This window comes from Homo sapiens, chromosome 1 (genome assembly GCF_000001405.40).
Source record: "Homo sapiens chromosome 1, GRCh38.p14 Primary Assembly".
NCBI classification, from domain to species: domain Eukaryota; kingdom Metazoa; phylum Chordata; class Mammalia; order Primates; family Hominidae; genus Homo; species Homo sapiens.
The window spans coordinates 211309474-211336201 of record NC_000001.11 but is presented as its reverse complement, the minus strand read 5'-3'; the positions used below and the strand labels follow the sequence as shown (position 1 = coordinate 211336201).

Sequence of the window (26728 nt, the reverse complement as noted above, 5' to 3'; positions counted from 1 at the left end):
CCAGGCATTGTACAAGGTGCTAGAGATCTAAAATCCCATTTGCCAGAGTCCTTTTCCAGAGACTTCATCATGCCAACACAATAACATAGCACAAAGCCAGCTGTTCCTTCTCAGCTCACTCTGTTCAATGTTGATTTTAAACCTTTCTCTCCTCCACAAACCTTGACCACTCCCTCCAGTCTCACCAGGAAACTCTACTTCCTTACTGCACAGCAAAAAAAAACAGAGATCATCAGACCAGACCACCTCTACTTCCTGCCACCACACCTGCAAATCTCCCTGCATGGGGCCCCTGCTCTGCCCCTTCCCTGCCAGGGTGGCGGCAGAGGTGACCTCTGAATTAGGCCAATCTCCCCACCTGTCCTCCACCTCTCCTGGATTCCTGGTCTTTTTGCCACTCCTCATATGAACAGAGAACCTTTCCCCCTTACAGCCTTCACCCTAAGGCTGGGTCTCCCTTTCCTCAAGCTGTTGTCTCTTCCGGAAACATCTTTTCCTCTCTCCCCACCTCTTGCTGAGCTAAACACATACAAGCCCAGATGAAGCCTCACATATGCAGCCATGCCTCTGTGTGCCTCCTCCATCAAGTTAGGGTCCCCCCCACTTATGACATGCCCTTTAACCACCTGTACTTCTCCTTAACAGCACTTGCCGGGAATGTAAATAATTGTTTATGTAATTAATTATCTGTTCAATAATAGTCTTCCCCAGCACGAAGAAAGCAGTGCTGGAATTGTGTCTTATATTTTTCAAGGTGCAGACGCAGAGCAAGCACTCAAATATCTGAGTCAATTAACAGTTGCCACTTGGGGTGCCATAATGTTCTAGATACTGCAGGAGATGTACATAGGTTGTCCCACTTAATTCACACAGCAGCCCACGTTTGCAGACCCTCATTGTATTATTCATCTTCATATTTTACAGATCGGGAACCCAAAGCTGAGGGGATGACACAAGGTGTTTGAGGTACCACAGCTGGTAACTCTGGGTAGGGATTCAGGCTTGTCTGCTGTCAAAGCCACCATGTCACACTCACGTCTTACTCACCACAGCTCACTCACTGCCTTAGATAAAGGAGGTGCTCGATTATGGGGGATGGAAGGAATGACCAACTATATCATTTCCTTTGGTCTTTAGTCACCATTGAGACCTACAAGCAAGAATTACAATTCCTCTTTTCCCAATGAGGAAAATGGAGTTTGAGGGGTTCAAAGGGCCACACAGCAGTAGGAGGCCATGCTGGGCTGAAACCCAGGTCTTCTGGTTCTTTGTCTAGGGCAATTTTCTCTACAACATAACTATAGTTAGGCACTGGGAGGACAGGACAGATGAGATTATGAAGGAAAGCTATGCAGAAACAAGTTAACACAGCAAGCCTAATACTGCTATCTCTAGAAAGTTCTCCTCGCAAGGATGGCCCCTGGCTGGTGTCTGGAACATGGATTTCAGTAAGGCTCCCACCACCTGAACTGCTAAGAGCGGCTCACTGTGCTTAAACCATCTAGGTAAACAATGTGTTTTGTTTTGTTTGTTTGTTTTGTTTTGAGACGGGGTCTCACTCTGTCCCCCAGGCTGGAGTGCAGTGGTGCGATCTCGGCTCACTGCAACCTCCGCCTCCTGGGTTCAAGTGATTCTCCTGCCTCAGCCTCCCAAGTAGCTGGGACTACAGGTGCGTGCCACCAAGCCCGGCTAATTTTTTGTATTTTTAGTAAAGACGGAGTTTCACCGTGTTAGCCAGGATGGTCTCAATCTCCTGACCTTGTGATCAGCCCGCCTCGGTCTCCCAAAGTGCTGGGATTACAGGCATGAGCCACCGCGCCCAGCCAATGTGTTTTATGTGGAACACCTGTTTTTCTTCTGGAGGCTGGAATTCTGACATGTGCTAGATGAAGGTATCTACATGACCAGCCCTTAGTAAAAACCTTGGGCACTGAGTCTCTAATGGGCTTCCCTGGTAGACAGTGCTTCACACCTGCTGTCACAATGCACTGCTGGAGAAATTCAGCACATCCTGTGTGATTCCCCCTCGGCAGTCCTTTGCAGAGTCTTTTCCAAGACTCTTGGAGGCTTGCACCTGGTCTCCCCTGGACTTTGCCCCATAAGCCTTTTCCCTTTGTTCATTTTGCTTTGTATTCTTTTGCTGAAATGAATCATAGCTGTGAGTATGACCATCTGCTGGATGCTGAATCCTGTAAGTTCTCCTAGCAAATCACTGAACCTGGGAATGGTCTTGGGGACCCCCAACAAAGAAGCCTAACAAGAGATGAATTTTGAATTTGTTTTGAAAAGAGTGGCAGGGGTATGGATTAATGGTTTTGAACAGGAGGCATTCTAGGCAGGAGAAATGATGTAAGAAAAGGTAGGCATAGGCAAGTCAGGTGTAGAAAGACCTACACCTTTCCTTAGGCCGGGTACGGTGGCTTATACCTGTAATCCTAGCACTTTGGGAGGCCAAGACGGGCAGATCACTTGAAGCCAGGAGTTGAGACCAGCCTGGCTAACGTGGTGAAACCCCATCTCTACTAAAAATACAAAAATTAGCCAGGCCTGCTGGTGGGTGCCTGTAATCTCAGCTACTCGGGGGGCTGAGGTGACAGACTCGCTTGAACCCAGGAGGCGGAGGTTGCAGTGACCCGAGATTGCACCACTGCACTCCAGCCTGAACGACAGAGCAAGGCCCTATCTCAAAAAACAAAACAAGACTGGGCACCGTGGCTCACGCCTGTAATCCCAGCACTTTGGGAGGCCTAGTGGGGAGTGGGGGGGGAGTGGATCGCCTGAGGTTGGGAGTTCAAGACCAGCCTGGCCAGCATGGTGAAATCCCGTTTCTACTAAAAATACAAAACATAGCCAGGCATGGTGGCAGGCGCCTGTAATCCTAGCTACTCCAGAAGCTGAGGCAGGAGAATCGCTTGAACCCGGGAGGCGGAGGTTGCAGTGAGCCGAGTTGGCGCCACTGCCCTCCAGCCTGGGCAACAGAGCAAGACTCCGTCTCAAAAATAAAACAAAACAAAACAAAACAAAAAAAAGAAGGGCCTAGAGCTATTTAACAAGGCTTGAACAGAATTAATGAGAAAATCTAGCACTTCTGTTACGAGGTAGAAGAGATGAGGGCTAGAGAGGTCCACTTGTTAGGAAGATCCAGTGTAAGTGAAGTGAAAGTGAACCACTTAGTCATACATAGGCCCTATGGGAACTGTTAGTATCAAAGAGGTGGGGAAAGAACTTAGCCTCTGGCTGTCCACAGCTAATACATGGCAATAAATATCTCTAAGGGAGGTCTGTGGGAATGATACAGATAATTTGAGGCAACATCCCAAAGTACTGACTTTTGAAATAAAACACCTTAACATAAGGAAATCAGTCTGCTCCCAAATAATCTACTTCCCATTCATTAAGGGTGACTAAAATGTTCTTCATCTTTTTAAAACATCTTTGCTCAAGTCCAATATTCCCCCTCCATTTCTCCTATCTACCCCCTCACTCCCTAGTGGGTTATTCCTGGAATAACTCCACCCAATGTTTTAATCACTTCTTTCATTCTGCATCTGCTGAGCATGTAAGCCTTTGCTTTATATTAAATTATTCTGCCTTTAACAGGGAGGCATGGTAAGTTTTCCTAGGTTGCATCATAGATATCAACCCAGCCTCTACCTCAGAAATCCTAAAATCATGAAGACAGAAGAGGGACCTTCATGGCTGCCGCTTAGCTTAGCCCCACCCACCTCCCTCCATCCTCCAGGGTCAAGGGTCTCCCTAACAGAAGCCTTAGAACACAGCCTGGCTGTTCTAAGCCATACGCCTTAGTACAGGAGAACAGAAAGGGCTCTGGGTGGTGGCTTTGCATCAGGTCAACCTTATCCTGCTGTGCCTTCACATTGGATCTGGCTAAAGTAACTGGTCTGCTCCTGGCTATCAAGCCAGAGCTTGTATTTTTGTTTTCCAAATCTGTTTTATTTTTTCCTGTGTTGGCTCTCTGCCAAGCACTATTCTTCCTCCAAAGCTGCCGCCTGCTCTGCCCACAAGTCCTGAAAACTAGACTCCTGCCCTTGAAACCTGGTCCATGGGGCCCCAGCCTCTGAGGCTGCCTGGCCCCTCTGCCTGCCAAGAACTCATCCCAGCTTATCCCACCATACCCTGTCCCAGCCCAGCTTCCCTACCCTGGCCCCTGAGGTCTACCTGGTCCAGAGATGGCAAAGTGGCAGCAATAGGCTAGTTTCAATGATGGTCTACTCGCCCAGGTGCAGTGGCTCACACCTGTAATCCCAGCACTTTGGGAGGCCAAGGCAGGCAGATCACCTGAGGTCAGGAGTTTGAGACCAGCCTGCCCAACATGGTGAAACCCCATCTCTACTAAAAATACAAAAAATTAGCCGGCCGTGGTGGCGGATGCCTGTAATCCCAGCTACTTGGGAGGCTGAGGCAGGAGAATTACTTGAACCCGCGAGGCAGAGGTTGCAGTGAGCTGAGACTGTGCCACTGCACTACAGCCTGGGCAACAAGAGTGAAACTCCATCTCAAAAAAAAAAAAAGATGGCCTGCTCTGACACACAGCAATTCTTCTGCTGGTTTTTAATTTAAATTTGAATGCCTTTAGGCTAGGCATGCAGTTTCCAGCTCCCCAGAAACCCCACAATGCTCTATGGCTATTAACCACATGGAAGGAGAAAACCAGTTTTACTGAATATCTGCCAGACTCCAGGCTCTGTGTATATATTGACTCATTTAATCTTTCCAGCAACCCCAAGTGGCACACATTACTATTTCTATTTACCAGTGGGAATACAGACACTATGGAAGTTGGGCAACTTGCTCAGATTATATAACTACAACCAGCAAATCATAAACCCAGATATGAACCCAGGCCCACCAGATTCTGAAGTCCACACTGTTTCTACTACACCATCATTGAAAGTAGAAGGTTTTGACTAGGCTATGTATTAAAGAGGCCCCTCTGCAGCAGCATGAAAAGGAAAATTGAATACAGATGGACCTGGGGCAGGAAAATGAGTCAATGCTTAATTAAGGTTGCCCAGGAAAGAGTCCCTGTGGCCCTGAACTGGGAATAGACAGATCAGGACTGGCTGAGGGGGACAGGATAAAGGTGACTGAGGAACAGCAGCGATTTCTGCAACAGAGAGAACAGAGAGAAAGAGGCGGCCTCGGACAAATGTCTAAGGTGCTTCTGAAACATCATGGTGAAGATTCTGAATATTGCAAATCATAGTGGCCAAGAAGATAACTGGGTGAGGGATGGAAATTTGATCAGCCTTTCCTTAAAAGTGTTGGTTTAAGTCTTGGGAATGGCCAAGGGCTCAAGGAGAGAAGCACAGAGAATTGAAATCCAACCTGAGGACCCAGCCTTGGCCCCATACCTGCACTTGCAGGACAGAGGAGGATAAGAAGCTGGAGGTCAAGGAAGGGAATGCTGGTGGGGACGGTGTAGCAACCTCCAAGGAGATAAGTAATAGCTGCAGCGTGGGCTGGTATGGGCTGGTGACTGAGGAGTACCAGGTCCTGGAAACCTACACAGGACAATCAGAGCAGCGCAGCAGGTGCACGGTGCCGAGTGAGGAGCGAGTGCAAGAGCTGTCCACTCTTTACAGAAGCTTGTCAGTGAAAGAAAGAGAAGAGGGACTGGGGAAACATGGAGTCTTCTTACTAACAGAAAACTCAGCTTGTGGGGGAGGGAAGAAGTCTGTGGGAGGGAGGCAGGGAGGGAACCTGCCTCAGAGGGAGGAGGAGAGAGCTGACTTGGGAGTGTACGTGGAAAAGGTACTCTCGCCTTGTTCTGGAGGAGAGCACTTTCTCCTTGAGAGAAAAAAAAAAAAAGCCATGGAAAAAAATTCAGGAATGTTCTGAATTGGTAAGGAGGGAAGTTGATGGAGCCTGTGGTGTCAAGAAATGAGACATGGGGCTCTGCTGAAAGTAAGTGAGATATCCTGGGAGGGCACTCACTGGGCTCTGTCACTTAATACTGGGTCTCTAAGACCTGCACATCACACGGATACTGCACAGTGTACAGACCATTTGCATGTATACTGCTTTTGCTACAGCACGATCCAAGCATGCACCACCACCTGCCTCCAGGTACAAATATGCAAAATGTGCTCACCACTGTCACTGTAAACAGACTGAGTTCCTCTGTCAGGACTAATGAGTACTTTCACTTTTATCTCCTGCCTGGTCCTCCAAGCCACTTTCTCACAAGATAGGACTTGCTGGAGGCCATATGGGTCAAGGCTGCTGAGTGATCCTTCAAATAAAGCTTTCCTCTGGGCAAGGCAACAAATTCATGCTGGCCCACTCCTGGGTGGTGGCAGCGGCAGCAGCAGCAGAGGCCTGCCAGCTCTGAGGACTCCCTCTGCCCTGCAGCGTGTTCTCCTCTGCCCCAACACACACAGATACTCACTTGCTACACCTCTGCTGGAGCTAGAACTCCTATCCAGAATCCCAGAAAAAGCCACAACCTGGGCAGAAAAAAGCTCTTCAGAGACTGAGTCAGACACTGACCCCTGATCAGTGACAAAGGTGTCAGGCAGCTTTTGATGACTGTCTCGCTGGTTCTCTCATCCTCCTCCTGCCCAGAATCCTGGCTTCCTTTAATTAAGATACTATGGGAAAAACACAGGAATTGGAGAAAGAAGACTTGGGATTAGGTCCTGCCCCATCCCTACATGCTGTGAGGTCTTTCAAATCACTTCTGAGCCTCAGCTTGCAACCAGGTAAAGTGGAAGGAATAGCATGTGCCTCTCCCTTCTCCTGAGGAGGTAGTGAGAAGTTAATCAGATGAGATGGGCTTCTCGTAAGCTGTACAGTGTTATTCTAATTTCTGGATTTAAGCAAGTCCTGCTGGGAGCTCAACCTCTCTCTGCCAAGCCTACCCAGCACTTGTTCCTGGCAGCTCAGACCCCAAGGGAGACGTACCCTGAATGAATTCAATTCGATTCAGCAAACATCTGTTTAGGCCTACTCTATGCCAGGTTCCAAGACACACATGAAAACAGACAAGGGTCTTGCCCGGAGTTTGCCTGGCTAGGCAGAGCTAACAGAGTGGATGTCTGTTCTTGTGGTGGTTAGGCCAGAGTCTCCAGCAGAACTTGCTCCATGTTGCTGGGGACAGACCACAGAGGCATTATCAGAATCTGGGTCCCCTTGCTGACCCCTCAGACGGAGGAAGAGGTGGGCAGATATGGCTCTCTGAGAAGCCAGGGTGAGGGGCCTGGAGCAGGGGAACAAGACACCTCAATGCTCTGATCCTGGTCCAGCAGTGGAGCTCAGGGAGCTATTTACCGCCTCAGTGCTTCACCCTCACAATCTGAGAGATGTAGAGAATAAGCCTGCTCTAACTCATGAGGGCGTCATGGAGGACGAAATGAGAACAAAACGACAAGAACAAAGAGAAAATGCTTTGCAAAGGAACGAGCTTTACAAACAAATAATTATTTTTCCTTCAAGGTCCTCCCCAGTAAAGCTGAGCTAATCAGAGGAGGTTTGTCTAAGTACTGAGGTGCCTTTCCCACTGCAAGCCTAACAAGACTGACTCTGAGGCATCTAGCTCCCCGACTGTGCAAATCATCCCCACTGAAACATCCCAGTCCCTATCGTCAGGACGTTCAGTGGACGGCAGCTCTTTTCCACACTCTTTCCATCGCCCTACTACCCAAGTCCAGCGGGCTTGCTGCTGACAGAGGGAAATACCACCATCCTACCCTGCCCGTCACAACAGGCCTCTCAGCCCAGAGGCCGTGGGAGAAGTCGCCTTCTCCATCACTTCCCATGTTCCAGATGCTGGCTCAGACACTTTCTCCTGCCTCTGTCCAGGAGCCAGGGATCTGAGAGGTGATCCATTCCATAGAGTTACAACAAAAACAGTAACTGTAACAAAATCAAAAACCTTTACAGAAGCTAGGCGTTTTCCACTTCCATCTTACATCCATCGTTCCTGCAGCAATTTCTGTCTTTCTAGTTCAAATTAGAGTTAGGGATGGAAGTGTTTCCACCCAAACCATCAATTACATTAACACCCCTGTTTTCAGCTTTGTGAGTACATAAGGCAGAGCAGCTGCACTGGGATTTGAGAGTTCCTAGCCCAGCCTTTTGCTGCCTAAAATTATCTCGCACACACCCAAAACTGTTCTATTTCCAGAAATGGTTCAACTAATTTCTTTGCATCTCAGGTCTTCCAGAGCCCTTTTAAAATGCAAGTATCTCTGGAGGAAATAACCATATTCCACTGGCCCCAGCCCAGTTCTCACACAGCACCTGCCCAATAAATATTTACAGAATTAAACTGGTTACCAGATGCCTATCCTCACAGGAGGTGGGTCAGAGCCCAAGGCTATGGAGGGTGGGGGCTGCAGGGGCAGCCCTGGCAGGGAGCCTCGCCTGGTTTCACCAACCTCAATGCTCGCCTGAGGCAGCTCTGCCTGCCACAGCGAGATAACTGAGTTCTCATGAAAGTAAATCTGAAATACCCAAATATGGAAACTTAGCAGAAGGAGGCCGAATGAGCAGAGAAAGTCGGCCAGCCAGAGTGGCCCAGTGGGACCCGCAGCAAGAGCGTGGCCCCGAAAATTCTCAGAACCACCAAGACCCTGCAGAACAGGAACAAAGTGGAGACCATCTGGTACGGAGAACTCAGAATCTGCGAATTCTCTGGGTGCCTCTGGGCAACTCCTTCCACCTCTCGGAGCTTTGGTTTGCGTCAAGGTTCCTTAGAGCTCGCCTTCTGGGGGAGGGGGGTAGCTGCTTTCTAAAGGAAGACGCGCAAACGAACAGCTGGTAGAGGCTTCCATTCCTTGCAATCCTGAAGTTTCATTCTGGAGTTGCTTTGATTGGAAAGCCCTGCAAAGGTGGAGAGGGTGCCTTCGGGTGCGGAAGGGGGCCAGGGCCTGGTTTGCAGTGCGGATGTGCGGGACGTGCCTGAAAGTCCTCCCCGCCAGTGCACCCCGACGGAACCTGGCCCCTCCGGTCCACAGCCGCCCTCTGGACCAGCTCCCCAGCTTTGGACCCCCAGTCTCCGCCCTCGCCACACCTCTCCCCGGCTAAGAAACCCGCTCCGCACCGCTCCCGCTGTCCCCGGGCCGTCGGCGGTCACCTGCCCCGCCGGTCTCCCGCAAGCCCGGGCCCCTCCGCCTCCCCCGGCCCAGCCGCCGCCTCGCGCCCTCCCCGCCGGTCGGGGACCGGCCGGACGCCAGCAGGCGCTTTCGGTTTCAAAGTAACTGGGACGAGATGAAAAGCGCTCGTCGGTGTCCCCACCCCGGCCCTTCCGTCGCGAGGGTGCCCAGGGCGGCGACCCGCCGGACTCACGTGGGGCTCGGCGCGCGGGCTCCGCGAGGCCGGTCTGCAGGCGCGGCTGCTGCTCCTGGCTGCGGCCGGCGGCGGCGGCGAAGCGGAGGCGAGGCCTGGGGCGGGGCCGGGGCGCGGGCGGAGGGGCGCGGGCGGGCGCAGGGGAAGAGCGGACGCGCAGGAAGGGGTCGGGAGGAGGCTGAGACCGTCATCCAGGCGGTTGGAAAGCTAACCTACCCGCTTCAGAACCGTTAGTATCTACAAGTCCAGTCATCTGATTTCCCTCACGTGCGTCTGAATTGTGGCCGTCTTGCTCTTCCGTCAGGCACAACAAGGCTCAGCCCGTCCTCTCCTGTGTTGACCCATTTGCTCAAGGCCTTGCTTGAGATCTGGCTCAAATCAGTCCTTCCTGGACTTTCCTTCAGGGTAGCACAAATTTGCCAGCCCTCCTCTTGCTGTTGGCCTAACACCAGCAATCTCTGAGAGTTGTAGAGCTCCCCGGTTGGCTTCCCAAACATCTCCTGTGGTCCTCAAAACAAGCTGGTGAAGTAGGCCTGGTCATCCCCATTTTACAGATGAGCTGTCTGAGGGCCAGAGCAGCAACGTGGAGTGACGTACCCAAGGTTAGACACGCTCAGCAAGCTCTGCAGCTGGAACTTGAATCCAGGTCTGCTGTCTGCCTGTCTCTCTCCCTCTCTCTCTCTCTATACGTATTTTTTATTTTATTTTATTTTTTGAGACGGAGTCTCGCTCTCACGCCAGGCTGGAGTGCGGTGACGCGATCTCGGCTCACTGCAACCCTGGCCTCCCAGGTTCAAGCAATTCTCCTGCCTCAGCCTCCCGAGTAGCTGGGATTACAAGCATGTGCCACCACGCCGGGCTAATTTTTGTACTTTTAGTAGAGACGGGGTTTCACCATGTTGGTCAGGCTGGTCTCATCTCTTGACCTTGTGATCCGCCTGCCTTGCCCTCCCAACAGGCGTGAGCCACCGCGCTTGGCCTGCGCACTCTTAGATACGGGCTCTTTCTTACAATATATTCTCTCCAAGGGCAATACATTCTATATAAATGAAATGGACCAAAATTCCAATTCTATCTAGATCCTTTACTTTCAGTTAGGCCACCGTGGGAAAAGTACTTAACTGCTCTGAGTTTCAGTTACCGTCCTCGTCAATAAAAGGGGAGAATAATACACACCTTGGGAGTCAAAAACTCAGATGTGCACAGGAGCTCGGCAGGAAACATACAGGAGGGAGGCAGAGGTTGTGGTCATGGAGAAAGGAGGGAGGCGCTGGTGCACTAAAGAGCAGGTGGAGGATCTAGTGGAGCAGCCACCACCCAGTGCCAGCCTATTGTTACCTGATCTCTTATTTCTCCAAAGAGCCAGAAATCCAGATCCAAACCTTTTTTGGTTGGTGAGTTAGATGAACCGCTCCGTGGGGGAGAGGCACTGGTGGGTGTTGCTTTGGGACTGTAGATCTGTCTCATAATCTTCTCATGAGAATTAAATGAGATGGCACTCCTGTACGCCTAACACAGAGTAGGTGCTTAGTGAACCCAAGTTCTCCTTCCTGTTCTGCCATACACTATACTTTCCCTCTCTTTTTGTGGGTGTGTATTTTTTGAGAGAGGTTCTCACTCTGTCACCCAGGCTGGAGTGCAGGGGCATGATCACAGCTCACTGCAGGCTGGATCTCCTGGGCTCAAGTAATTCTGCCGCTTCAGCCCCCAGAGTAGCTGGGACTACAGGCACACACCACTACGCCCACCTCCCCCAGCTCCTTTTTTTTTTTTTTTTTTTTTGAAGAGATGGAGACTTACTATGTTGCCCAGGCTGGTCTCAAACTCCTGGGTTTAAGCGATCCTCCCACCTCGACCTCCCAAAGTGCTGGGATTAAATGTGCAAGCCACTACGTCCCACCCGCTTTCTCTTACCATTGCCTGCTTCTTGCCTCTCTTCTCATTACTTCCAAGCATAATAAAGTTGATACTGTTTTTTAGAAGTTATATCTCCTTTCACTGGCTGGAACATCAGTGTCTAGTATGCATACATGCAGGTATGCTCAGAATCCCTGGTCCTGTCATTGACTGTAATTTGCTTCTCTCTCCTACTCCTCTCCCCACCAACTAAATAAAGCAGTCAATTGTTCCAAAAATTACATCCAAGCCTTAAATATGATGGAATAAAACCTGGGATAGAGAGGTGGATCTTTATTGTGGTGGGAAATGGGGGCCGCATAACTCGAGGGCTGCGTCTAAGTGGAAAGGGTAAAGGAATTTTAGACGGGTATTAGTCAGAAGTCAGTAACATAGTCCCAATTCCCTGTTGATCATAAAGCGGAATTTGAATCCTGTATGTACATAAATGCACATATAAAAAAACATTAAATACCTTCAAGTGATAACTAACGTTTATTAAGGTTTCTTTTTTTTTTTTTTAGATGGAATCTCGCTCTGTCACCCAGGATAGAGTGCAGTGGCGTGATCTTGGCTCACTGCAACCTCCACGTCCTGGGTTTAAACAATTCTCCCACCTCAGCCTCCCGAGTAGCTGGGACTATAGGCGTGCACCACCACACCTAGCTAATTTTTGTATTTTTAGTAGAGATGGAATTTCGCCATGTTGGCCAGGCTGGTCTCAGATTCCTGATCCCAAGTGATCCACCCACCTCGGCCTACCAAAGTGCTGGGATTATAGGCATGAGCCTCTGTGCCCGGCCTATTACGTTTTATATACCAGGTACTGTGCTCAGTGTTTTTTATATTAACTCATTTAATAATCAACTCCATTTTATAGATGGAAAATCTTATCTATTGAGCAATTTGCCCAGAATCACAAAATTCTTAGTTTGAGAGAGGCAGAATTTGAATTCTGGGAAGTCTGGTTCTGGTACTCCTAGCCACTATACCCTACCCCTCAAATAAATGACTGATGTGAATTCAAACAAAACAACTTAAAGACAAATTTTAGTACTTTTAGTGTTTTGAAAATATTCAGCATTAAGTTCAACATTATATCTAACATTGAAGAGAATCCAACCTTCAAACTAAATTCAGCTACAAAATAAGACCAGGGCTGAACTATACACTACAGTTTTATGCAGAAGAAAAGCACTAACCCTTTTATCTGTTGCTTCTAGACACCGTAAGATTGCCCCAGACGCCCGAAGACATGGATTTCAGCTGTTTAATTTGCTGTATAAATTAGGGTGAGAGACTGCAGCCCTGGCTGCCAATGTAAAGATGGTGCTGATGGAGAGGTGAGGACGCCGCCTACTGGAATAGTAGATGGATGCATTATCTTCCTCAGGCTGCTCCTCTGTGACGAGACTGATCAATGTAGTGAGTTAGCTTGCAGGGCAAAAGTTCATACTTCCCATCACCTAGAGATCAGTGAGATCAGATAAGGAGGGAAAATCCTCTCCTTGGGCCATAGATTGCGACTTTGACTCCATTGCAAGTTACAATGGAAAGTCTTTGTCTGTAAACAGAACCACACATGGAAAATGTGATATACTGTAGCAGCAAACCACTTCCAGGCAAAATGCAGATCTCAGGGTCTTGTGCACAGAGAATACTCAGCTTGCTCACTAAGTAGGTGTTGTATTGAGACAATATATGAATGACTGATCCCTCTGCTTCCATCAAATAACCTTTAGCTCAGCTCTGCCTGTCAGTGTGCTGACCACCACAAGAAGAGAGGCGGGGAGTACTGGGATGGGGCAGGGACCGATGTAAATTTTTTTAAGCCTCCCTTTGCAAAAGAACCTGTGTATGTGCATTCAGCAGCTGCACCTTTAACTTAGGAGCTTAAGAAAAAACCATGTTTCTTTTGTTCTACCTTGTTTTACTCTATTGTTATTTACTGTGTTATAGGGTCAGCACCAGTTGAAAAAAGCAGACCTGTACTGTTCCTATGGCCATATATTATGTATTTATTCCAGGGGATCCCCTGCTTGATACATAAACACACCCTTCTTTATTCCTGTTCATGGTTTAATTGTCTGATGGTCAGCCTTGGCTGGAGAAATGAGATTTTTATTGTTTTTACATTAGACCTCCTGTCTTCATTGTACACCTGGCTAAGTATGAATTCTGTCCTCTTTGACAGTTTCTTTAATAAGATTCACACATGCAATTCCTATCACTGCTAGGAAAACATTTTAACATATTAATTCTGCATAATCACCAGAAGCCATTACAATATAGATTTAAAAGTTATTGTTTAGCCTTAGGAATCATGAAGTAAGATAATAGGTTTGATTGGCACAGTTTGGTCTTGGATTTTTTAATAGGTTGGTAACAAGGAAGACCATTTATTTGGTATTTATTTTTGAGAATGGTGCTTACTCTATATGCTGAGATTTCAAGCAATGATCTTGGAACCCTGGTTAGTCACATCTTCCATTTCACAGAAAACAGGACAGAAGCATTAGAAAGAAAGGCATAAGCTCAGGAAGGGCCCATCCTAGGAAAAAACACAAAGTTCAAGGGTCTTTGACTCTAATCACACCTCAGTATTCCATGACCTTGCCACTTCTATCCTCTGAAATCCCATGCTACTTTCTGTTGGCACAAATGAGGGCCTCTCATTGTGATACAGGTTTTGTACAGCCCTTCCAGTTCCATACTTCTTCTTCCTTGTTTAAACAACTTTACTGATGTACTTTTAATAACATAAGATTCACCCAATTGATGAATTTTAGTAAATGTATACAGATGTGCAGCCATAACCACAATGAAATTTTAGAACAAATCCATCTCCCCGTGTCCATTTGCAGTCAATCCACACCCCCAGCCCTGGCCTCAGGCAAGAGATCTCCTTTGTCGCTATAACTTTGCATTTTTTGAAAATTAATATGAATAAGGCCAGGCGCTGTGGCTCACGCCTGTAATTCCAGCACTTTGGGAGGTTGAGGCAGGTGGATCACAAGGTCAGGAGTTCAAGACCAGCCTGGCCAACATGGTGAAACCCTGTCTCTACTAAAAATACAAAAAAGTAGCTGGGTGTGGTGGCAGGCACCCGTAATCTCAGCTACTCTGGTGGCTGAGGCAGGATTATCGCTTGAACGCAGGAGGTGGAGGTTGTGGTGAGCCGAGATGACACCATTGCACTCCAGCCTAGGCAATAAGAGCAAAACTCCATCTAAAAAAAAAAAAAAAGAAAATTAATATGAATAAATACGTAGCAGTTTGTGTCAAGTAGGAAAATACTTTTGTCATTGATCCATGTTGGTGCATAAGTCATTAGTGTTTTCTTTCTTATTGTTGACTACCTCATACCATGCATAAAAATTAACCAGATGGAGCATAAGATCTAAATATAAGAACAAAACTATAAATTTCTAGAAAAATACACCTGAAAATATATCACCAAAGCATGATCCATAATAGAAAAATTGTATTGATAGACCATTTTGTTTATTCCCCAGCTGATAGACATTTGGATTATTTCTAGTTTTTACAATTATAAATAATGCTGCTGTGAACATTTGAATAGAAGTTTTTGTGTGCACATACATTTTCATTTCTCTTTAGGTAGATGCCTAGGAGTAAAATTAATGGGTTGTATTGTAAGTGTACATTTAGTCTTTTAGATGTTGCCAAATAGGTTTCCAAAGTAGTTGTGTCATATTACATTTCTACCATCCATGTAAGAGGGTTCCGGTTTCTTCACATCCCTGACAACACTTGGTATTGTCAGTCTTTTTAATATTAGCTATTCTAGTGGGTGTTACAGGTAGCTCATTGTGGTTTTACTTTGCATTTCCTTTATGACTAATGATGTGATCATCTTTTTTTCCATTTGCATATCTTCTTCGGCAAATGTCTATCCAAATCTTCCACCACCCCGCTCTTTTTGTTCTATTATTGATTTGAAAGAGCGCTTATATTTGAATTGGAAGAGTTTGTTATATATTCTGGATACAAATCTTTGATCAGACATATGTTTGGCAAATATTTTCTCCTGACCGATGGCTAACCTTTTCATTTTCTTGTGTCTTTTGAAAAGGAACATTTTTAATTTTGATGAAATATAATTTATCAATTTTTTCTATTATGGATCATGCTTCAGTGATATATTTTCTCGTTTTTTTTTTCTAGAAAGTTATATTTTTGTTCTTTTTTGTTTGTTTGTTTTGGTTTTTTTTTTTTTTTTGGAGACAGAGTCTCACCCTGTCCCACCCATGCTGGAGTACAGTGGCGCGATCTTGGCTCACTGCAACCTCCACCTCCTGGGTTCAAGTAATTCTCCTGCGTCAGCCTCCCGAGTACCTGGGATTACAGGCGTGCCCCACACACCCGGCTAATTTTTGTATTTTTAGTAGAGACAGGGTTTCACCATATTGGCCAGGCTGGTCTCAAACTTCCAACCTGAGGTGATCCGCCCACCTCGGGCTTCCAAAGTGCTGGGATTACAGGTGTGAGCCGCCATGCTCGGCCATTTTTGTTCTTATATTTAGGTCTGTGTTCCATCTCATGTTTATTTTTATGCATGATGTGAGGGAAGGATCAAGGTTTATTGGAGGTTTTTTTTTTTGCATGCAGATATTCTATCACTTCTGCCATTGAATTACACTGACACTTTCATTGAAAATTAGTTGATCACATATGGATGAGTCTATTTCTGGACTCTATTTTGTTCCATTGATCTATATGTCCATCATTACACCAATATTACAATCTTGATTATTGCATCTTTATAACAAATATGGAAATCAGTTAGTGCCAATCACCCAATTTTGTTCTTCTTCAAAATTGTTTTGTCTATTTTAAGTTAGGAGTTGCTGCCTGTTTTTGTAAATAAAGTTTTATTGACACATAGCTATATCTGTCCATTTATGTATTTTCTCTGGCTGTTTTTGAACTAAAATGGTAGAGGCCAGGAGTTGCAACAGTTTGTGGACCACAAAGCCTAATATATTTACTATTTGGCTATTTATAGAAAAAGTTTACTGGCCCCTGTTCTAGGTCCTTTGCATTACCATATAAATTTCAAAATCAGTTTGCCAGTCTGTGCAAAATAAGCCTGCTAGGATTTTTATAAGAATTAGATTGAATCTATAAATCAGTTTGAGGAGAAATGCCATTTTAACAATATCAATCTTCCAATCCATGAACAGTTAGTTATTTAGGTCTTATTTCTCTCAGCAATATAGTTTTTCATGGACAAGTCTTGCACATTTTTGTTTATTCCTATTTTTTGATACTATCATGAATAAAATTTTCTTAATTCCATTCTCAGATCACTTGTTGCCATTATATGAAAATACAATTGATTGTACATTGATCTTGTATCCTCTGATTTTCTTAAGCTTGCTTACTATTCTAGTTTTTGCAGGTTTCTTGGGATTTTTTACATACAATTTCATGTCATCTGCACATAAAAACAATTTTAGTTTTTCCTTTCCAATCTCTATACTTTTTTCTTGCCTATTGCACTGGCTATAACCTTCAGTAAACCACTGAATAGAGTTGTGAGTGCAGACATCCTTGCCTTGATTTCCATCCTGAGGGGAAGCATTCCTAGTTTTCTAAGTTTTAATCATGAATAGGTGTTGGATTTTGTCAAATATCTTTTCTGTGTCTATCAACATAATCATATGGCTTTTTTCCTTTATTTTATTAATATGATATATTGCAATGATTCTCAACTGGAGGTGATTTTGCTCCTTATGGGACATTTGACCATGTCTGGAGACATTTTTGATTCTCAAACTGGGGAAGGGGGTTCTACTGGTATCTGGTGGGTAGAGGCTGAGGATGCTGTTCAACATTCTAAATGCACAAAAAAGAATTATCTAACCTAAAATGTCAGTAGTGCTGATATTGAGCAATATTTCATGTGCACATGGAAACAATGTTTATTCTGCTGTTGGGTAGAATGATCCCACATTTCAACTAGGTAAAGGTGTGTTATTCAAGTCATAGGCTGCAATCAAGCTGTTAGCTGGGTTCTGGTCATCTCAAGACCCAACTGGGGAAGGATCCATTTTCAAGTGCACATGGATGTTGGCAGGATTCAGTTCCTGGCAGGTTGTTGAACTGAAGGCCTGAGTTCTTTGCTGGCTGTTAGCAAAAGGCTGGCTTCAGCTCTTTGTCACATTAGAGGTTCCTTAATTCTGCTGGCTTTTGTCATAAATGTATCCCCATCTGCTGGTAGCTCCTCCTCTGGCTTCCTAGCACTGCTAAGGGTTATTTTGGTTTTTCTATTTCTTGTCATTTCAGTAAGACTGGCAGGGGGAGATTATGGGTAAGAAAAGTAAAAGACTATGTCCAGTCTGTCATCTTGAACTGAAATTAATCTCTCATTTTTGCACTGCACTTTAATTTTTTTAAAAAAATGAGCTGAGATTGCGCCATTGCACTCCAGCCTGGGTGACAGAACGAGACTCTGTCCAAAAAAAAAAAAAAAAGTCACAATACATTTCCCTTATTAAGAAGGGTATGGTATAAGTAGACATGTAAAAACCTCTAACATACATTGGGCAGGTACTATATGCCCCAGTTTATATATTCCTCCCCAAATGAGGAAAATGAGGCTCACAGAGATTAAGTAACTTGCTTAGTGGAGTTGGAAAACTCATTGTGTTAAAGGTTGGTGGGCAATTATTTTGCAAATATAGGCCACAAGCCCTCAATGATTCTGATTATTTTCAAACTCTTTTGGAAAAGATGAAGAGGCAGGATATCAACAAAATGGTCTTTGGATTAAAGGCCTCTTCAAGCCAAATCCTGTCAAATAAGAAAGCTGTTCCAGGTAGTAAACTAGACAGATCCCTCAAGAGATACCTTGTGTTGTGGTATTATTCAGCATCTTCTTAGTTATTGGTAACTGTACCTTACAAATAAGATTAAATTGTACAGAATAAAAATTTCACCTTTCTTAAAATAGTCCAAGGGAAGGAAACATATGAAGCATTCTGTGACATCAACTTTGACCTCATTTACATTGTGAAGACTGTTCTTAGATCTCTCCACTTCACATCACCAGCATTTTTTCCTTAGAGACCCTGCTCACCCAGATTCCTGCTTTAGGATTCTAAAGTTTAGATTACTGCATTGTAAAGACTGTTCCGTTTATTAATAAACAATTGTCTACTTTAAACCAAGTAATGACAATTGGCAAACATCTCAACCCAATATTAACTTCTGATCTTCACTGTTTCTCCCTTAGCTATATAGACTTAGGAGAGCAAAAAAGGGCAGATAAAGCCACATGGCCCTTTAGACACAAACTCACACATCTAGGAGCATTCCTTGTCATGTTTAATTCTCAAACTCCATTGTCACTAATATACTGCTGCAGAACATTCCTTCCCTAAGGCAGTTATGATAAAGAAGTTGTGGGGAGTTACACATGACCTACTCTTTCCTAGGTGAAAACAGTTCAGGTACTACCATAAATCAGATGTCAAAAGTTTCTTGTAGGCATTTTCTAATATGGAATGGTTTCTCAAACTTGATTCTTGGGTTCTTTCCGTATTCATTTATTCTGTTATTTTCTTATAAACGATGTAATCTATAATGAATGGCTAAATTTAAAAACACTTTTTTTCTTGTGTGTCCTCTAATAAGAATGTATTTGTCATTTATTTTGGGCATGCACAAAGAGAAAGATAGATTCTTCTTAGAGTTCGAAGTCAGATTACTATTCTTTTTGAGGAGATCCTGACACCCCAGTGTTAACTAGTTAGCAGTTATTAATGTTCATAAATAACCTTTTGATAACAGGAGGGAACATAAAATTAATACAACATACTTAATAACTAAACTAGGTACTTTAACCCAAGTACAGTCATGCACCACACAATATTTCGGTCAGTGACTGCAAATACACTGATGTTCTTTAAAATTATAACATCAGCAGGAAGCAGTGGCTCATACCTGTAATCCCAGCACTTTGGGAGGCCAAGACAGGTGGATCACCTGAGACCAGGACTTCAAGATCAGCCCGACCAACACGGTGGAACCCCATCTCTACTAAAAAATACAAAACTTAGCCAGGTGTGGTGGCGGGCGCCTGTAATCCCAGACACTCAGGAGGCTGAGACAGGAGAACTGCTTGAGCCTGGGAGGCAAAGGTTGCTGAGCCAAGATCCCGCCACTGCACTCCAGCCTGTGCGACAGAGTGAGAACCTGTCTCAAAAAATAAATATATAAAATATTGTATTTTTACTATACCTTTTCTATGTTTAGATACACAGATATTACCACTGTGTTATAACTGCCTATGATATTCAGTACAGTATATTACTGTACAGCATAGGACTGTTGCCTAGGAGCAAAGGCTATACCATATAGCCTAGGTGTGTAGTAGACTTTGCCACCAATGTTGGTACAAGTACAATCTGATTCACAGCACAAAAGAATCACCTAACAGCACCTTTCTCAGACCATATCCCCGTTGTTAAGGGCATGACTGTACTTGCAATTTTTAATATTCTTAAAAATGATAGTCACGTTCTTGGCTTGCTCTCTACATCTATTCCTAAAAAGAATGTAGGCCTACATTAAGACAAAATTTTATATTATTTCACCTTTATTTTATATTCTATTTTACTCAATTGCAAGCTTATTAAGAACATAAAAAGTTTGATCATAACTTACTCTTACCTCATCCATATTACACTAGAATTAAATCATATAGAAAAACATTGTTTCCATTAGTTTTATAAGATGTATCCACAGTGTGGTTTATTTTTAGTTATGTAATTTTAAAAAACCACTTTGGTGTAGATTTCTCAAAAATGATAACCCTGAAATTAATGAAAATTGTCATTAAAAGATTTCTAGTTTTGCTTTTATAAAAATCATTATTTCGAATTTCACAGTGAAGAGGTACTAAATTCCTCATAGAACATGAAATTATATAAAAATAGAAGACATAGACATCTTTAAATCTTTAATCCTTTGATTAAGCAGCAAGCATATCACTCTTCCAGGCCAAACACTGCTTAAACAAAAAAGAAAAATAATGACGTGCAAAATATTTACAAAATATGCAAAGCACACAATAAAGACATCTCACTATATACATGTGTCATATTACTAATGAAGCTAAAGTTTTTCTACTGTGTGCTCTAATGCATGTAAATCAAATTACAGCACATCCCTCAGATACAGCACCTTGGCCCATGTCTGGGATAGAAGAGATTTTTTAATGAATCACAATATACTGAACAGCTGGACAGATGCTGGTGCTGACCAACTTGACTGACATATCCCACATACTGTGTACTGAAGGTCTACTGACAAGAGACAAGACAATAAACGCTGTAAAGGTATAGTATGCACATACGTAAGACAATCTAAGTGCTTTAAAAAATGTTTTAGATATTTTAAGATATTTAACTGTCCCCTGTGGCTTTTAAGGAAAAAATAAGTATAAATTCTTGAATATTAAGAATTTTAAATCAGCTAAATTCAGGGCCAAGAACTATTTAAGATGATTCAATGAGAAAGAAAAGGACCTAACCTGGAAAAAGAGTTTCAAATATGCCAGTACGTAGGGTATTTATGGAAATACACAGTCTAAAATTAAAAATTAAAACTAATCAATGAATTTAAATCTATAGCACTTTAAGGCTGTGGAGCCAACAATAGGGAATACTTTGGGAACACATGATCTTTCAAAACATAAATTAGGGCCTTAGATGTTGACTATTTTGTGAAGTATTCTACACGTGATAAGAATGTGAATGTGCAAACATGTAGCCTATGTCCACTAGTATAGCAATCTAAGTGATCTGTCTGTCCCTTTGCACAAATAATGATTCCAATATGAAATCACTGTATCAAAAATATTAATTACACATTGTTGAAATACTATCACTTGTAAAATATTCTTTGTTAAGTACTTAATGATTATGGGTTGAATTAAGAAGACTTGATGTCTTTTTGTTTTTCTATAAAAAGGGGTCTCAGCATTTTTAGTTAACAGCACAACTGTGACAATATACTGATACATCTTTAGATAACACAGAACAAATTCTTATTTTATGAAATAATGTTGATGATTTAACCCTACACCAATCCCACGAATACAGGTTGGCTGCAAGGAATACACAAATGTATCCAAATAGTACAATAGATTTATCAATAAAACACCTTTCATATTAAATGCAGACCATATTATTAAGTATGAGGGCAATTTTAAGTTCAGAAACCAAACATGTAAAGGGTACTGTAAAGAAATGCTTCCATAACCACTGTGTCTACTTAACTAACAAAATATAATTCTTCTCTGAAGTCCCCAGATGTAGGCAACTACTAGTTAAAAGCAGATAGCATTTAGAAACAAAAAAAACCAACTCCATTTTCAAGGAACTTAAAGAGATTATATTTCAACAAATTAAGTCCTCATTTGTATGCAAAATTATTCTTCCAATCCTCTCATTACTGACAGATGATGAGTCAATGACCTTTAAACAAGGACTCTGCGCTAGGACCCTAAACTGTATGTTAAAGGGTTAGTAGGTTCAGTACATTCTTTGTGGTTTTATATAATTGCTTTGCAATTGATTAAATTGCTTTCTTTTAAAGGAATATATTAAAATTCCTTTAAAAAAAAAAGCAACATTTTTTGAAAGAAGGGATATGCAGCTATAATTTCTTAAATATGCATAAAATGAACATATGTCAAAATCGGAAATGCTGGCTATTCTTGCACTCCTAACATAGGAAAATGGTTTTTAAAAAATTAAAGAAAAAAGCCAAACATCCTTAACTTAAGAAACTTAAGGAGTTTTCACAATTCCTAAGTCAATATTCCTGTACTAAGAGCCTTGACTATGAAGAGGCAGGAATATAAAGAACCTCAATAAAATAAATACAGTAAAAACAAAACAAAAACTTGGTATATAGAATACTTAAATCTTTTGTTTTTCCTTTTATGAGATCAACATTGCTGAACATATACTCTAGAAAGGAGGCTAACTGGAGGCTTTTTGTTGTAAAACATTTTAGTCTAGTGAACTGAAAAATTTCTTAGACATCCACTTATGCTAGTCCACTGCCACAGAACTAGTTCGCAGCCTCAGTATCTAGAAATGATTATTCTTTCCTCTTTTTCATCAGTCAGATGAGCACTGGTATAATGATGGGGTGAAAAGTTACTGCAGCTGTGTCCAATTTAATTTTTAGTGCAGTGAGGACTGTGAATCTGTCTGAATTCCAATAAGTGATGGTGGCTGTTGACCACCAACCGTGGACAACACCGGTCTTGGGTTTAGACGGGGTGGCATGGAATTAGCAGGGCGAATAAGAGGTGGTGGAGGCTGATTTAAAGTTGGCCGGGGCTGGATGAACCGAGCCTGCTGCTGGAGTGGAGGAGGCTGCCGGTGAAGAGCCGGGGCAGCAGGCAGTGTTGGACGAAGAAGTGGTGGAGGCTGGTTCAGAGTGGCAATAGGGGCTGTTGGTGTTGGAGTGGATGATGGGGCAGGAGGTGATGGACCCAGTGTCCGAGGAGCCTGTGGGGTCTGTGCCTAGAGGTGAGGAAACAAAAATACACGTATGAGATGTAAGTCCTAATGAACTTAATACAATATAGTTTGGGCTGTCACAGGAAAAACAAAACAAATCAAAACAAAACAAAAACATAACACCAGTGTTTATTGGAAGCACAAGCTTCTTTTATTTTAAACAAAACAAAACCAAAAACCAAAAACCAATGAGGCTACCAAACAGGCATCTTTATTTGTAAACAGCTTAACACTGAAAATAAAAATAAGACTATGAAAGAACAATACACTCTCCATTCTTCTAGAATCAGAACTTAGCATGTCATTATGACTTAAGAGTCACGAGAGATGCACCACTGAAGAAGTGTATTGTCAACCTTTCATGCTCAATTTAGCTAGTCCTCTTGACAAATTAACCTTACAGAATACCACACAAAATGGTGATTCCTCAACTCATATTAGCTCAAATTCCATACACAAACACACCTCCTCTTCTTCATCAGTGCTCTTCCCTGATGGCACATTAGAAGCACTTTTTGTCTCCTCCCCTAAAGTAGAAGCATCACCATTAGAAGCCTGGGTTCCTTGTTCTGCTTCCCACTCCTGCAATACCTCCTCTAAGTTAAACCGACGCCTGTAGTTTACAAAGAAGTTCTTCACTTGGCCAACAGTCTTGTTGCCAATTACATCTGCAATAGCTTGAAAATCTTTACCATATTTGCGGACACCTGGAAGGCAAAGTAAATAATACACCTGTGAAGGATCAATAAGGAGAGCTGTGTGTACTATACATCATGCACACACAAAAGATACCAGCAATGAAATTCCTTTCTGATAAACTCTGCTCATTTCTCAATTCTGAGATAGAGGCTAAGATATCAGGGTCACAGATGAAAACTATCAGTTATGTCATTTCATCGAGCCAGCCACTTGCCTTCAACTGAACAATCAGAAACTTACCATTTTTTACATACTCAGTTATTTTCTCCAATCCTCTCTTGAACTCTCAAATACAGTCCATTTATTGTAAAGCATTGAATTCTTTGTTCCATCCTCAATTCCACATTCATTTATTTCCCTAGTAGCCAGTCACCTAAATTTGAGCAACATCGTTTGTAAACAAAACTGGATGGGAATGAGCCATCTCTCTTATCCCCTCAATGGACTGAGTGAGTAGCCTTAGGGTTCCCCCATTAAGAAAAGCATTATAATTTTGGTCTTAATACTAACTTCAACATGAATACTTGCCTATAGCACCAGGGTACCAACAAATTGAAATTAGATAAGAACTTAAACATGAAAAGCAGGAGAATCATCACAAGTTGGTGGATTTTGAAAAAAGAGAAGATTTTTTTTCAGAGTCAGTTGGATTTTAACTCATCTAGTAGTTTTAAAGACTGAATGGATGAAAGATGATAGCTTAAAGAATAAGGTAACAGTAATGACTACCTGAAGAGCACTTGTGCTCATCATCACTACCTTAAACTTAAGAAGAGATATTTATTGTTAATTGAGAACCTAACTTTACACTAAGGAAGTTTCATTATAATAAAGGGTAATAATTGATTTAAGAAGTTGAGACTGTTAACTATACTATAGAATTTTAAATAGATAATAATTTCCTCTTAAGGGAATTCTAAAAGAAGTTCACAGACTCATTCTAGAAGGAGATGCACTTAGCTCAAAATAGAAAAGTTGCTGAAAATTTTTATAATTTGATAACTGCTTTTAAAAATACCAGAAAACAGTAACTCACTAATGAAAGAGATGAGAAAGGAGACAAAAATATGGGGGCTTAAATTAATAACATGTATATGATCACAGATGAGAGAATAATATATGGATATGTTAATACCCAGCAGAAATGCTATTCTTACCAATACCAATTAATATGAAATACTCAATTACCCTAAAGCACTATCATGATGTAACAATCCCACTTTTAAATTCTGCTTTATTTTAAATTGAGAATTTGGAAATAAGCATTTCTGACTACATTAAACTAGCTGGGCTTGACTCTAAGGGGAATTCCTTTAAGAGCATTCTGGACAGGAGGTCTGACATTATTATCCTCTAATTATATCCCATTTTTAAGGTAGAGTTTTGGGTTTGTAAGCTATGCTCATTTGCTGTGTTCTCAAAGGAAAATACATGTACATGACAATAAAGTAACAATGATAGACATCGTTTATAATGTTTTATCAGCATAAATGAATTTATACTCCCTTTAAACCCATGAGGTTGATTTCCAGTTTGAACTTCACAGTTAAGTATAAATTCTAATAGTGACTAGATTCCACTGAGAGTTTATTTGGTAATAAAAATCCAAGGTTATTTCACAGGAGTTACTGTTATATATTCAAGTACTTCTCTACTACTTTTACATTTTAGAAAATAGCAACTCTTATAAGGGTGAGTCTCTGTGCCATTTCTAAATTCTAAATTTGAGTTTGCTGCAGTGAAGAATAACTACTAATTAGAAACCAAATATAGTGTTCTATCAGTTACTAATTTTCATAAGGGACGCTTAATTTACATTCTAGCAATGGCCAAACCTACTGAATACACGAGTTTAGAAGTGAAAACCTTAAATAAGTCTAGGATTAGACTGTATTCCTAGGAAGAAGTCACATTAAAACTAACTCTGACTCCAAGTCTAAAGATATTATAAACCTCAGAACACTTATTTTGCAAAATATATTCCAAAACTCTAAGTTGTCCCCAAGTCTGATTCCATTAAATAAGTGCCCCTTCTTCTGACTATACTCCTTTTGATCTTCCACTTCTTAATTTTCCCTTGTTCAATGGACTTTACCTTGTCATCAATATTGTTACATTTGTAAAATTATACACCTTAAACTCAAAACTACTTCCTGTAAGAGCTTTAGTGTTTCTAGAGATGTTCAATGTCAACAACTTTTTCTAACTCACCCAGGTATGCTTATAATTAACTATAATATGCTTATAATTAACTCATGTATGCCAGTCTAAACTCTTAAAGCTCAGACCACACTGTAGACTTCTGTAGTTTGGCTGAGGATTCCAACCTCAGATATTCCAACCTAGATATTCCAACAAATATCTAGGCACATTTGTTCTCATCCTGTTCTCATCCACATTTGTTCTAATCCCCTCATCCTGAAGGATGGCTGGACAGGGTCTGGAATAGCTAGAGCTCCTTGGCAGTCTCATTTGGACAAGAGCAGCTTCATCTGCTTGCCCTAGTGTGTTGTGACAAATTTCATAATTTTCTCTGTGTACCATGATGTGAAAAAGGTTGGAAAGTACTGTCCTAGAAAATACAAAGCAGCACTAGCATTACTACAATGCTGAGTACACAGGAAGTGCTTAGGAAATAAGGAAATATGATTTTTCTTCCCTATAAAGCCTCATTCTATTGTTCTTCCCTAAACCACAGGAGGTATTAGATATATATGGCTGAATTCTTCATCACCTTCACACTCAGAACAGCATGGCTCAAGAGCACTTTGGTTAGAAGATGGAACTCTTAAGCTCTATACTGTTGCTAGCATCTAAGCAAACTCTAGTGAAACCCCAACTGACTCAATGAGACTGCTCCTTTAAAAGAATCTCCAGTGAGGCGTCTGAAACAACTAGCAGGTGGTAGTGATAAGCAGCAACTAACTTTAACAACTTACGGCATCAGAGCTACCCGAGTTTCAGTCTGTCCCTGGGGGAAGGGCACTCCATTATTTTTTCATAGTTGATAAAATCTGATTACTTTCTCAGGAAGGGAGTTAAATATGATTAAGTCAATCTCTCTTCCTGAAGATGTAAAAGGTATGCTTGAACCATAGTTGTTAAAGTCTCACTTCTAGGAAAAGAGGTCGTTTTCAAAGGTTGGTGGAATAAACAGGCAAATAGTAAGTTTCCCAGGAAGAAAAAAATTGTTTTCAGTCAAATTTCTAAATTTCATTTGAAAGTTACAATGAAACAACTTGGCTTTCTATGCT

The 26728-nt window shown here is 42.5% G+C and overlaps 2 protein-coding genes across 30 annotated transcripts in view, besides 4 other annotated features; both read right to left on the bottom strand.

The window, feature by feature from the left end:
- The window catches only part of TRAF5 (TNF receptor associated factor 5), a 48312-nt gene extending 38745 nt beyond the window's left edge, over window positions 1-9567 (bottom strand). For 5 of the 7 annotated variants that reach the window (NM_001319207.2, NM_001033910.3, XM_011509957.4 and 2 more), the window contains exon 1: window positions 9313-9369. The gene's annotated coding sequence lies outside the window, so the exon portion shown is untranslated. Of the gene's footprint in view, window positions 1-9312; window positions 9370-9528 lie in introns of those variants that run through there. The other 2 variants (NM_004619.4, XM_011509960.4) reach the window with 1 other exon arrangement.
- Window positions 5882-5941: an enhancer, noted in NCBI's record as "active region_2484". NCBI's record gives its function as "activates an Ori minimal core promoter by ATAC-STARR-seq in GM12878 lymphoblastoid cells {active_cell/tissue: GM12878}" and the evidence as "EXISTENCE:reporter gene assay evidence [ECO:0000049][PMID:35858748]".
- Window positions 9075-9444: a silencer, noted in NCBI's record as "silent region_1784". NCBI's record gives its function as "represses an Ori minimal core promoter by ATAC-STARR-seq in GM12878 lymphoblastoid cells {active_cell/tissue: GM12878}" and the evidence as "EXISTENCE:reporter gene assay evidence [ECO:0000049][PMID:35858748]".
- Window positions 9505-9894: an enhancer, noted in NCBI's record as "active region_2483". NCBI's record gives its function as "activates an Ori minimal core promoter by ATAC-STARR-seq in GM12878 lymphoblastoid cells {active_cell/tissue: GM12878}" and the evidence as "EXISTENCE:reporter gene assay evidence [ECO:0000049][PMID:35858748]".
- Window positions 10164-10665: an enhancer, noted in NCBI's record as "H3K4me1 hESC enhancer chr1:211498879-211499380 (GRCh37/hg19 assembly coordinates)". NCBI's record gives its function as "activates a minimal SCP1, AML or CMV promoter by ChIP-STARR-seq in naive H9 embryonic stem cells {active_cell/tissue: H9 hESC(naive)}" and the evidence as "EXISTENCE:reporter gene assay evidence [ECO:0000049][PMID:30033119]".
- The window catches only part of RCOR3 (REST corepressor 3), a 57020-nt gene continuing 50108 nt past the window's right edge, over window positions 19817-26728 (bottom strand). For 8 of the 23 annotated variants that reach the window (XM_005273191.6, XM_011509748.3, NM_001350069.2 and 5 more), the window contains 2 exons: window positions 23241-23482; window positions 19817-22778 (listed from right to left, as the gene is read on the bottom strand). In XM_005273191.6, coding sequence (XP_005273248.1) covers window positions 22434-22778; window positions 23241-23482 — 587 coding nt within the window. In that variant the 3' untranslated portion in view covers window positions 19817-22433. Of the gene's footprint in view, window positions 22779-22903; window positions 23483-23714; window positions 23848-26728 lie in introns of those variants that run through there. The other 15 variants (XM_047425046.1, XM_006711442.3, XM_047425021.1 and 12 more) reach the window with 5 other exon arrangements.